This window comes from Homo sapiens, chromosome 1 (assembly GCF_000001405.40).
Source record: "Homo sapiens chromosome 1, GRCh38.p14 Primary Assembly".
NCBI classification, from domain to species: Eukaryota; Metazoa; Chordata; class Mammalia; order Primates; family Hominidae; genus Homo; species Homo sapiens.
In genome coordinates, this window is record NC_000001.11 from 143,699,620 (window position 1) to 143,713,106 (window position 13,487).

General features: G+C 47.6%; 1 annotated feature.

The window, feature by feature from the left end:
• Positions 11,098-11,599: an enhancer, noted in NCBI's record as "H3K4me1 hESC enhancer chr1:149205365-149205866 (GRCh37/hg19 assembly coordinates)". NCBI's record gives its function as "activates a minimal SCP1, AML or CMV promoter by ChIP-STARR-seq in naive H9 embryonic stem cells {active_cell/tissue: H9 hESC(naive)}" and the evidence as "EXISTENCE:reporter gene assay evidence [ECO:0000049][PMID:30033119]".

The window sequence follows — 13,487 nt, forward strand, 5'->3', positions numbered from 1 at the left end:
GAGTTCACACATCTCCGCCCTGCGACAGCTCCATACGCCTCAACCTTTACAGACACGGTCACTTGCCCCGCGCACCCGCACCCCCACCCCCACCCCGCCCCATGCCACCCGGAGCCCTCCTAGCCCTGACACACAGCTGGGACTCTCACGTCCAACCAGCGGTCCTGGACTTGCTCCCAAAGCAGGAGAAATCCTTCGTGGGAAGCAGCAGCCCCTAAGCTGCCTCATCTACGTAGGAATCGCCCTATCCGTGATGTCACCGACAGCGCCTTTCCCGGTCCCCATCTGCTCTTCCGCCCGACCCTCCGCCACTCAGCCGACCAACCCGCTGCGGGAGCCGGCGGAGGAAGTGAAGTCTACCTCTATCTCCTTTCCCTCCCTTCCCCACCCCTGGTCTCTCCCAAAGAAGTAGGTTCTTAGCCTGTGATGCCAAGGACCCCTTTGGCGGCCAGCTGGAGCCTGGGCGCTCTTCTTTGAGTAATGGCTTTTAATGCGCAAACTAGAAAGTTTAGGATTACAAAGAAAACCGGTTCTTTTCACATACGGTTATCCTTGTGATGTACCATTCCGCTTGACAGTGGAAGTCGTTCAATATCAGAGAGAAACAGTATCTATGAAACTAGAGAGGCTGCTCAGATGACTGCAAACCAGCCATCCTTACTTGTTTTATCACTAGGAATATTATAAAGACGGCTGTCCAGTTTCATCAATCTTGTAGGGTTTTTTTCAAATACAGCAATGTACAAAAATGTGCTGCCCCAGCAGAGCACACTGGACACTCAGGCATGGTGCTGGAGTCGTTTTGCCATCTCTTCACTGCCTTCTCTAGACCTTAGCGCTTACCTCATGTTAACACTTTATATGCTGCAAAGACAGAAACAAAGTCATCCAAATGTGGCAAAAATATTTTGGGGAAATTTTATTTCAGGTATTTAACTGATTACTTTTAATATGTAGGCAACAACACCAAACTCTGACAATACTCCGCAGACTTATTAATGGTTTCCACCCCCGTCTCTGCAAATCTATCAGGCAAGTTTTTCCCGCCCTTTACTTTCATATAAACTGAGTCATACACTGTGTAGTGAGTTTTGGGGGGAGTGTTACTGCCCAACAGGTTCACCTTGCCTGCTGCCTAGACAGAGCCAATTTTTTGACACAGGGGAATTGCAATAAAGAGTTATTTAAACAGAGCTGGCTGTGTGGGAGACCAGACTTTTATTTTTACTCAAATCAGCCTCCTCAAGCATTCCGGGACCAGTTTTTAAGGATAATTTGGTGGATGGGGGCCAGTGAGTTGGGAGTTCTGATTGGTCAGGTCAGAGATGAAATCACAGGGAGCTGAAGCTGTCGTCTTGTCCTGGGTCAGTTCATGTGTGGGGGACACAAGACCAGATGAGCCAGGTTATCAGTCTAGCTGGTGCCAGCTGATCCACTGAGTGCAGGGTCGGCAAAATACCTCAAGCACTGATCTTAGGTTTTCCAATAATGATGTGATCTCCAGGAACAATTTGGGGAGGTTTAGAATCTTGCAGCCAGAGGCTACATGACTCCTAAACCATAATTTCTAATCTCGTGGCTAATTTGTTAGTCCTGCAAATGCAGTCTAGTCCCCAGGCAGGAAAGGGGATATTATCATCTTTGTTTCACAGCTAAACCATAAACTAAGTTCCTCCCAAAGTTATTTTGGTCTGAGCCCAGGAATGAACAAGGACAGCTTGGATGTTAGAAACAAGATGGAATCAGATCAGATCTCTTTCACCGTGATAATTGTCCCAGTTCTAATTTTTCAAAGGCAGTTTCAGAAGCAGAGGCATAGGTTTGACTTCTTTCACTCAGTCTTATGTCTATGAATTTTTCACCTTATTCATATGGTTATTTGTTTCTGTGTGTCTTACTTTGTATGAATATACATTAACTTATTTATTCATTTGACTGTTGTTGAACATGTTGACCTAAAAGAAAGAGGCTGAAGCACAAAACATAATATAGAGTTTACTTGAGCCAACATGAAGACAGCTGCCTGGAAGACTCACACCCAAGGAACCTTGGATCTGAGCTCCCTTTGGCTTTTGTCACAAGCAGGTTTTTAAGGTCAAAAGCAGGGACAGACAGTAGGCTGATAGAAAGGTGCCTGTCAGGAATTCTCATTGGTTTACAGAAATAACATTGATTGGTGATTGGCTTTATGTTGTTAAGTTATAGGCTATGGGGTATAGTGTTTGGTGTGGCATTATTAGGATAATTTACAGCGACTTGAGGCGATATCAAGCAGTTTCAACAGATGAATACATAGCTCAAAAGGAAGGAATGGAAAGGGGTTTCTCTCTCGATTTAACATCTCTCTGGGCCTGATCATTTGAAAGGGCTCACATTCCTCAGATAAAAATTTTTTTAAGTCCTCCTCTCCCTCTCCCTCGTCTCCCTCTCCCTCCTCTCCCTCTCCCCACGGTCTCCCTCTCCCTCTCTTTCCACGGTCTCCCCCTGATGCCGAGCCAAAGCTGGACTGTACTGCTGCCATCTCGGCTCACTGCAACCTCCCTGCCTGATTCTCCTGCCTCAGCCTGCTGAGTGCCTGCGATTGCAGGCGCGCGCCGCCACGCCTGACTGGTTTTCGTATTTTTTTGGTGGAGACGGGGTTTCGCTGTGTTGGCCGGGCTGGTCTCCAGCTCCTAACCACGAGTGATCCGCCAGCCTCGGCCTCCCGAGGTGCCGGGATGGCAGACGGAGTCGCGTTCACTCAGTGCTCAATGGTGCCCAGGCTGGAGTGCAGTGGCGTGATCTCGGCTCGCTACAACCTCCACTTCCCAGCTGCCTGCCTTGGCCCCGCAAAGTGCCGAGATTGCAGCCTCTGCCCGGCCGCCACCCCGTCTGGGAAGTGAGGAGCGTCTCTGCCTGGCCGCCCATCGTCTGGGATGTGAGGAGCCTCTCTGCCTGGCTGCCCAGTCTGGAAAGTGAGGAGTGTCTCTGCCCGGCCGCCATCCCATCTAGGAAGTGAGGAGCGTCTCTGCCAGGCCGCCCATCTTCTGCGATGTGGGGAGCGCCTCTGCCCTGCCGCCCCGTCTGGGATGTGAGGAGCGTCTCTGCCCGGCCGCCCCGTCTGAGAAGTGAGGAGACCCTCTGCCTGGCAACCGCCCCGTCTGAGAAGTGAGGAGCCCCTCCGCCCAGCAGCCACACCCTCTGAGAAGTGAGGAGCCCCTCCGCCCGGCAGCCACTCCGTCTGGGAAGTGAGGAGCGTCTCTGCCTGGCAGCCACCCCGTCTGGGAGGGAGGTGGGGGTCAGCCCCCCGCCCGGCCAGCCGCCCCGTCCGGAAGGGAGGTGGGGGGGTTAGCCCCCCTCCCGGCCAGCCGCCCCATCCGGGAGGGAGTTTGGGGGGTCATCCCTCTGCCCGGCCAGCTGCCCGTCCGGGAGGGAGGTGGGGGGGTCAGCCCCCCACCCGGCCAGCCGCCCCGTCCGGGAGGTGAGGGGCGCCTCTGCCCGGCCGCCCCTACTGGGAAGTGAGGAGCCCCTCTGCCCGGCCAGCCGCCCCGTCCAGGAAGGATGTGGGGGGGTCAGCCCCGGGCCCGGCCAGCCGCCCCATCCGGGAGGTGAGGGGCGCCTATGCCTGGCCGCCCCTACTGGGACGTGAGGAGCCCCTCTGCCCGGCCAGCCGCCCCGTCCAGGAGGGAGGTGGGGGGGTCAGACCCCGCCCGGCCAGCCGCCCCATCCGGGAGGTGAGGGGCGCCTCTGCCCGGCCGCCCCTACTGGGAAGAGAGGAGCCCCTCTGCCCGGCCAGCCGCCCCATCCGGGAGGGAGGTGGGAGGGTCAGCCCCCCACCCGGCCAGCCGCCCCATCCGGGAGGGAGGTGGGGAGGTCAGCCCCCCGCCCGGCCAGCCGCCCTGTCCGGGAGGGAGGCGGGGGTGTCAGCCCCCCGCCCGGCCAGCCGCCCCGTCCGGGAGGTGAGGGGCGCCTCTGCCCGGCCGCCCCTACTGGGAATTGAGGAGCCCCTCTGCCCGGCCACCACCCCGTCTGGGAGGTGTACTCAACAGCTCATTGAGAACGGGCCATGATGACAATGGCCGTTTTGTGGAATAGAAAGGGGGGTAAGGTGGGGAAAAGATTGAGAAATCGGATGGTTGCCATGTCTGTGTAGAAAGAGGTAGACATGGGAGACTTTTCATTTTGTTCTGTACTAAGAAAAATTCTTCTGCCTTGGGATCCTGTTGATCTGTGACCTTACCCCCAACCCTGTGCTCTCTGAAACATGTGCTGTGTCCACTCAGGGTTGAATGGATTAAGGGTGGTGCAAGATGTGCTTTGTTAAACAGATGCTTGAAGGCAGCATGCTCGTTAAGAGTCATCACCACTCCCTAATCTCAAGTACCCAGGGACACAAACACTGCGGAAGGCCGCAGGGTCCTCTGCCTAGGAAAACCAGAGACCTTTGTTCACTTATCTGCTGACCTTCCCTCCACTATTGTCCTGTGACCCTGCCAAATCCCCCTCTGCGAGAAACACCCAAGAATGATCAATAAAAAAAAAAAAAAAAAAAAAAATTTTAAAAATCTTTCTTCTTGAAAGCATTGATGATCAAAAGCTCAGTCAAGGTGTCCCTCTTTGCCAGAAAGGCTCATTCCCAGATAGTCCTATCCCAGGCAGGGGACAGGGAAGGAAAGGAGCCACCTCACCAAGGAATTTTTAAGAATGACCACAAGTCCAATTGAAAGGGCATTACAGCCAGACACGGTGACTCACACCTGTAATCCCAGAACTTCAGGAGGCCAAGGTGGGTGGATTGCTTGAGTCGAGGAGTTCGAGACCAGCCTGGGCAATATGGCGAAACCCCATCTCCACAAAAAATACACAAATTAGCCAGGTGTAGTGGCACACACCTTAGTCCCAGCTACTCAGGAGGCTGAGGTGGGAGGATTGCTTGAGCCTGGAAGTTCAAGGCTGCACTGAGCTAAGATCACACCACTGCACTCCAGCCCAGGTGACAGAGTGAGACTCAGTCTCAATAAAAAAAAAAAAAAAAAAAAAACCAGAAAGAAAAGAAAGAAAAAGGGCATCATAGAATGGCAAAAAAAAAAAAAAAGAGAGAGAGAGAGAGAGAGAGGCCTCAGTTAAGTCTATAGCTGTTGTCACCTGTTGAATCATCTCTAGTCTTCAGAATACCATGAAATTAGTTTTCTCAGAAGTAAAACGATGAGAAATACATAACAATAATGACATTGCACTTCATCATTCCATGCTCTTAGACATTTATAGGGCCATGGATGGTGATCTTTTCAAGAGACAAAAATAAATGCTGGTGCAGAACAGGTAAGTGCGCTATAATTTGAGTACATCAGCTTTTGAGCATTTAAATCATGCATCAGAAATTTAGAGCAAGAGGGCAGGTTGGATCCTGATAGCAGGAGTGTTTTTCTTTTAACTTTCCAGTAGCATCATGGTGTTTACCACTGTCATTTCAGAGTGACGTGACAATTTTTTGTTTGATTTTGTACTTTTTATTTTTATTATAATTACTTTTTGAGACAGGGACTCACTCTGTCTCCCAGGCTGGAGTTCAGTGCAAGATCACAGCTCAGTACAGCCTTGACCTCTTGACCTCCAAGGCTCAATGGCTCAGCCTCCTAAGCAGCTGGGATTACAGGCACACACCACCACACCCAGCTTATTTATTTATTTTTTGAGACAGGGTCTCACTCTGTTGTCCAGGCTGGAGTGCAGTGGCATCATCAGGGTTCACTGCAGGCTTGAACTCCTGAGCTCAAGTCATCCTCTCACCTCATGCTCCTCAGTAGCTGGACTACAGGTGGGCACCACCACACCCAGCTAATTTGTATATATTTTACAGAGTCAGTGTTTCACCATTTTGCCCAGGCTAGTCTCAAACCCCTGGGCTCCAGTGATCCTCCTGCCTTGGCCTCCCAGAGTGCTGGGATTACAGGCCGTTATTTTGACAATACGATTATGATGGGTTAAACTGAGATGTGAGGCAGGAAGGTTAGGGTGAGTCACATAGATTCGATAAGCAGGTTTTGCTTGATATGACCCTGAGTTGCATCGTGAGTGCAATCAGGAGGAATACAGGTGAAATTTAGCACAGGATGTACCAACGGGCCATTATGGCCAAAAGTGGTTGGTGGTTTAAGGTGGCAAACCCAGCACCTTGTTAAATTTCCCACAGTGCAATGGTTTGTGAGATTCTGATCAGAGAATTATCCCTCCCTGCTATAATCAAATTAATTAGGGACAGTGAAACAGAAATCTGATCATAGGCATTTTGCTATGTAGGTATGTATATGTATATACACATACACGCAATAGGACTAGTGTGTCATATCTTAAGAGAATACACATATAGGATGATTTTACCAAAACCACCAAGAGAGGACCCCTACAACTTAAGGGAGCCCTAGTGGTGTATTATTCCAGTCAACAGAAAAAGAGACTCAGGTGCAGTGAGCACTGGAACTGTATTGTTGATACAGGCCAGTATCTTGGGCAAAAGCGGACTACAACAGATGTCAGCTACTTGCCATCTCGGTCAGGAAGACTGAGTTACCTTTAAGTGAAAATCTCCACTAACAGATGTCCACTCTGGCAGTGCTGCCTTTTACAAAAGAAACATGAATCCGTGTGTCAACGCCCTTAAGTTTACTGGCACAGATTGTTCAGTAATACCTGTTGTGAGTTGGGTACATTGGCCCATGCCTGTGGTCCCAACTATTTGGAAGATTGAGGCAGAAGGATGGCTTAAGCCCAAGAGTTCAAATCTACAGTGAGTCATGATTGTGCCACTGCATTCTGGCTTGGGGAACAGAGTGAGATCCCATCTCAAAAAAATAACATAAAATAATAATACCTGATGCGGTCCCTTCTAACAGTCTTGGGAGGAGTATTTTATTTGATGTTGTTTCCAGTAAACAACAACATCTCCAGGTTATAGGCCAAGATTTTTGATATTTTCATCTCCCAAGAATTCATTATGAAAGGAATCCTGTGTTAATGTAGAGTTTTTAGTAAGTTTTGTGAGATCTTAGCAGTAATGGAGAATGTCACCTTTGAGAAGTGCATATTCATAAGTGTCTTCACCTAACCACTGCATGGGTCTTCCTGTTATTATTTCAAAGAGAGAGAGTGTGGACATTTTCCAGAACTAGTGGGAGATCCTTGGCCAAGAAAGGTTAAAAACTTCTGTTAGCTTTGCCTATGGAGTTTTTATTGTATCATCAGTGCATTCCATCAGCCCAGAGGATTAGGAGTGATAGGCACAATGGAATTGTTGGGACATAGACAAAACTGTACAAATGGATCCAATTACCTGACCGATGAAGTGTGTTCCTTGGTTGCTATGGAATTCAGATGGCACTCTCCATGAAGAATTACCTTTTCTAATCACAATCTACTAACCTACTACTTGGGCTGTGGCTCATCGGCATGGAAATGCTCACCCCAGTGAGCACATACAAATTAGCACCAGAAGGTATCTGTAACCCTCAGATGGAGACAGCTGGATAAAGTCTAAGTGCTATGTCTCAAAGGGTCCTAAAGGTAAAATGTTCCTGTGACCCATGAAGTGGTTTTCCAGGGTTATGTTTGGGACAGACAGTATAGCAAAAATAAACCTTTTCTACTATCATAGGCAATGATTTTCAATACCATTGCTTTCCCCATGCTAACATTTTGTCTGAATTCCAATAAGTCAGCTTATGAAGTACTGTAAAAAGGGTAACTGAAGCCTAAAGGGTGGATCAGTGTATCATTGGGCCCATACCATATGCCTGTTTCTGGAAGAAACTTGTTTCCTTTATCCTTCCAGAGATCCCTCTCCTGCTTGGGAGCTCCCACTTATGCTTCTTCTTCTGTTTTTTTTTTTTTTTTTTTTTTTTGAGCCAGAGTCTCGGTCTGTCACCCAGGCTGTAGTGCAGTGGTGCAATCTCTGCTCACTGCAACCTCTGCCTCCCAGGTTCAAGTGATTCTCATGCCTCTGCCTCCCAAGTAGCAGGGATTATAGGCATGTGTCACCACACCGGCTAATTTTTGTATTTTTAGTAGAGACAGGGTTTCACCATGTTGGCCAGGCTGGTCTCAAACTCCTGACCTCAGGTGATCTGCCCGCCTCGGCCTCCCAAAGTGCTGGGATTACAGGCATGAGCCACCATGCTCAGCCCACTTGTACTTCTAAAGAAGTCTTCAATGGGTCATAAGTCAGCAAGGTCATTTTGAGAAGTTCTGTGTCTGATGTCACCTTCAGAGCTGCATTCTTAGCTGCAGCGTCAGCAAAATGGTTGCCCTTGCTCTCCGGAATATCTAATTTTGAATGACCAGGAACTCCTTTGATGATGGCCAAAGATTCAGGTTTTCAAATTGCTTCTAAGAGGTCAGAGACTTACTGGTCATTTTTCATGGCTTGAACTGATGAAATCAGAAACCTATGTTGCTTCTAAAGCATTCCAAAATCATCACCTACTCCAAATGCACCTCTGCTGCCAGTGTAAATGTTAGGCTGAGGTGAGAGGATTGACTGAGCCCAGGAGTTCATTTAGGTCCAGCCTGGAAAACACAGCGAGACCTCATCTCTAGAAAAAAAACAAAGAATTAGCTGGGCATTGTGGCACGCACCTCAGCTACTTGGGAGGCTGAGGTGGGAGGATTGCTAGAGCTGAGAGATTGAGGCTGTGGTGGGCCATGATGGAGCCACTGCACTCTAGCCTGGGTGACAGAGTGAGAATCTGTCACAAACAATCAATAAATAAATCTCAACCGTTTAAAATATCAATGACAGATTTGCTTGGCCTTTTAAGTGCATTGCTGAATTCTCCAATCTACATTTTTAGGAACAACCTGGGGAATGGCAACATGGAGGTATTTGGCCAAAATGCAGACCCTTTCATTGTCTGCTTCAGTCTGTTTTTAAGAATCCTCTAAAGGATTATTCCAATTTGCCCTTTTCAACCATTTAATGGCCCTGCCTTCTTACCCCAGCATGTGAATTAATTGATAAAGATCAGAATGTCCAGGCTCAAAAGTTTGGGCAATTAAGTCAAATTACCTCCCAAACACTATAGGATCTTGGAGGCTGCTTTAGAATTAGAAGGGGAAAATGTATTTAAATTTCAATCAGGGAAATCTTTTTTTTTTTTTTTTTTTTTTTGATATAGAGTCCTGCTCTGTCACCCAGGCTGGAGTGCAATGGTGCAATCTTGGCTCACTGCAACCTCCATTTCCCAAGTTCAAGTGATTCTCCTGCCTCAGCATCCTGAGTAGCTGGGATTACAGTCATGTGCCACCATGACCGGCTAATTTTTGTATTTTTAGTATAGATGGGGTTTCACCATGTTGTCCAGGCTGGTCTTGAACTCCTGAACTCATGATCTGCCCACCTAGTCCTCCCAAACTGCTGGGATAACAGGCGTGAGCCACTGCACCCGGCCCAGGGAAGTCTTTTATGATATTCTTAATTCACATTTTGGTGAAGCAGTATACAGAATGGTAGGCTCCCTTCTTCCTGTGGATTTTACCTTGAAAGGGGCTGTCAGAACAGAAGTTTCAGGGAAGGGACCAGAGCCCTGGGGACTTTCCTTAGGTGATGGTGATGGAAGAAGAGGCAAGGCAGGAAAGGAGGGCTCAGGTAAGGGAGACTATGCAGGTACAGGGGCAGGAGAAGAAGGAGCAGTTGGGGGCGAAAGAGACAAAGCCTCCTCAATATTTCTCAGTTCAGAAAACATGTCAGTTTAGCTCCTTCAGCTTACTTCCTCACTGGAGATAATTTTCTCAGTTCTTTTAGAAATTTCTAGGTATAATTGGAAGTAAGTCTCCCATTTAATTTGGTTCTAAAACCAAATTTTTCCAATTGTGCACACTAATAAATTATTTTAAGCATTTCAAAATATCCCCATTTTCTTCATTCTGCTTATGATTTTTCCTGGTTAGGTGGGTCCAGTTTCTTGGATATTTACAAGAGAATGCCTCATAAGTGTTATACATAAACCCAGCTGATGTTTCTAAAGGTGGTTGTTTCTTCGCAGTGTGCTAAATTTTGAAGCTTGATTTCCCATAATTCAGGAGCTTTTCAGATGACCAAGGCCTGCGATGTGTTTTGGGTCACAGTGTGGTGCTTATGAAGTCACTCCTACAGATAACACCGGAGTTGTGTATTGCTGTCTCAGTGGTTCCCACTGTTTCTAACCACCAGGTGGCCACAGAGTGCATGTGCTATGAGGGACCCATCCCACATATGCCCTCCCAGAAGAGCAGGAAAGGGGGTTCATAAAGATGTTCTTCTGATAGGGAGTGCCCTATGAGGCCACCTTCACATGGTGAGTAATGACCCCGACACCTCTGCAACATCCCCGATCACTTGGAGCACCTGAATGGATCAGCGGGAGCAGATCACTTCTTTTCTTCAGGGCAAGGGAACACACCTCCGTGCACTTTCCAGTTAAGAACAGGAACTAGTCACAAATGAAAAGCTAAGTCCGAATGTTCAAAACAACATGCTACATAAAACGAAACCACCAGAGCATACCTGCCAATACCTTGGCCCAGATCTTCCTGCTGAGGAACAGAGGCAGAAAAGGCAGAAGCTCTCTGGGGAGCTCTTTGCCTGACTGTGACCCAAACTTTCTGTCCTGACGCAGAGGTGGAAAAGGCAGTTATTTCCCCCTGAAACTCAAATCTCTTACTCACAGGGTAAAGACAGAAAACCTCCGTTCTAGAAAGGGAGAGCTGGAAAGGACACTCAAGCAAACTCCAGGCCTTCAACCAAAGAGTGGGAAGGTCCAGATTTCAGGAGGATTCACCACTTACTACTGCCCAACTCTTTCTCTCAGAGTCAGAACTCAAGGGCTTCAGATCTGGCCAGGCACCCAGTCCAGGAGGAATGTGGTGTGATCTGAGAGATGAAAATACATGCCCCCTTAGAGACTAAGGCAGACTCGAAAGTTAAGGAAACAAAAGTTAGCTACTTGTCCAGGGTTCAGGGCTCATCTGGCATGGCAACTTCCTGAATTCCTATGGCTACAGGAAAAACCACACTCTTGCTAAACTCCTTAACAATAGAACTAGCAAGCAAATTGTCAAAACCTTCCCAGCCCTTCTCAACTGGATTTACAACCCAGATCACTAGACCTCTGATGGGACAGAAGAGTGGCCTTCCATTCTCTCCTGATAAGCAACTGCGGATATCAAGCCAGTTTCAGCCATGTTACAGGGACTGCACACAAACCGACTTGGTGTCCAGCAGTTCACCTTTTGACATAAAAAGCCAATTTCCACCTTATTTTAATGCTAAAATCCCTTCCCAATGTGAAGATGGGGTGCATGTTACATATATGTTTACCCTTTGCACATGAGCTCAATACCCCTCAGAAATGGCGTTTCTCCAAACCTGCTGAATATGTATAACTCCATTGTGTGATACACACCCTGTGAGGCACTAAAACCAAACTGCCCTCTCTCTCTCTCTGAAGAGAAAGCACCTTTTCAAAGACACACACCAGAGACTGTCTCTTCCTGGACTGCAAACTGATCTCACCAATGAAATTCTTACTACTATGTAGCCACCCTGGAGGCCTTTGAGAGGATAGTCAGATGGTCAGAGATGAGTTGCTCTGAATCCTGCTCCCAGGGCCAAAAACGTCAACCTAGAAGGAAGGGGCTTAAGCACAAAATATGATTTAAAGAGTTTATTTGAGCCAATGTGAGGATAGTTGCCTGGAAGGCTGAGACCCAAGCAATCTTGGATATGGGTTCTGTTTGGCCTTTGTTACAAGCAGGTTTGTAAAGACCAAAAAGGGAGACAGGGAGTTGGCTGGTAGAAAGTTGCTTATCAGGAACTCCCACTGGTTTACAGAAATAACATTGATTAGGGATTAGCTATACATTGTTCAGCTACAGGGAGTGAGAGATGGTGTCCAGTGCATGTGATTAGGTTACTTTATAGCTAACTGTGGCAATAGCAAGCAGTTTCAGTGGATGAATACATAGCTCAAAAGTAGGGAAGTGGCCAGTGGCACTGGCCCATGCCTATAATTCCAACACTTTGGGAGGCCGAGGTGGGCAGATCACCTGAGGTTAGGAGTTTGAGACCAGCCTGGCCAACATGATGAAACACTGTCTCTACTAAATATACAGAAAAAAAAAAAAAAAAAATAGGCAGGCATTGTGGTTCATGCCTTTAGTCGCAGCAACTCAGGAGGCTGTGGCAGGAGAATCACTTCAACCCGACTGGAGGAGGTTGCAGTGGGCCAAAATCCTGTCACTGCACTCCAGCCTGGGCAACAGAGTGAGATTCCATCTCAATACAATAAATTATTTTTTAAAAAAATTTAAAAAGCAGGGAAGTAGGATGTGGTTGGTGTTTCATTTTAATGCCTAGCTCTAGGCATGGTAACTTGAAAGCGCCCATTTTCCTCACATGAAAAAGTTCTTTTCTTTCTTTTCTTTTCTTTTTTTTTTTTTTTTTTTGGAGACACACTCTCACTTACTGTGCCACCCATGCTAAAGTGAAGTGGCATGATCTCTGTTCACTGCAACCTCCACCTCCAGGGATCAAGCGATTCTCATGCCTCAGCTTCCTGAGTAGCTGGGATTAGAGGTGCCAGCCACCATGCCTGGCTAATTTTTGTATTGTAGTAGAGATGGGGTTTCACCATGTTGGCCAGGCTGGTCTCGAACTCCTGACCTCAGATGATCCACCCGCCTCAGCCTCCCAAAGTGCTGGGATTACAGGTGTGAGCCACCATGCCCAGCCAAGACCATTAATTTAATCTACAGCTAAATCTATTATATTTTCATGTTACAAATTCAGCAAGAAAAGTTTTCCCTAATGAAACATCACATTTAAAGCATAAGTAGTTAAAAAAAAAAAAAAAAGTAAGAGACAGGGTGTTGCTGTCATCCAGGGGAGAGTGCACTGGTGCAACCACAGCTGACAAACCTGGAAATTCTGGGCTCAGGCTGTCCTCCCAGCTCAGCCTGAATTTTAACTTTTTAGACGTGACATCTTGTCCTGTTGCCCGGGCTGGTCTCCAATTCCTTGCCTAAAGCAATCCTCCCACCTCAGCCTCCTGATTTGCTGGGATTACAGGTGTGAGTCAACCAGCCTGGCATTGCAAAAAAAAAAAAAAAAAAAGTCAAGAAATTATTCTTATTCTTTATTTTATTTTATTTTGAGTTGAGGTCTTACTCTGTCACCCAGGCTAGAGTGCAGTGGTACAATGATAGTTCACTGCAGCCTGGATCTCCTGGGCTCAAGTGATCCTCCTGCCTCAGCCTCCCAAGCATCTGGGACTACAGACGTGAGCCACTGTGCTGACTAGTTTTTCTTTTAATCAGCTCATTTTTTAAAATTTGTAGAGACAGGCGTCTCACCATGTTGCCCAGGCTGGTATCGAACTCCTGGTTTCAATCCTTCTTCCCTCCTCAGCTGCCTAAAGTGCTAAGACTACAGGTGTGAGCACCACGCCCTGCTTAATTTTCATATTTTAATTTTATAT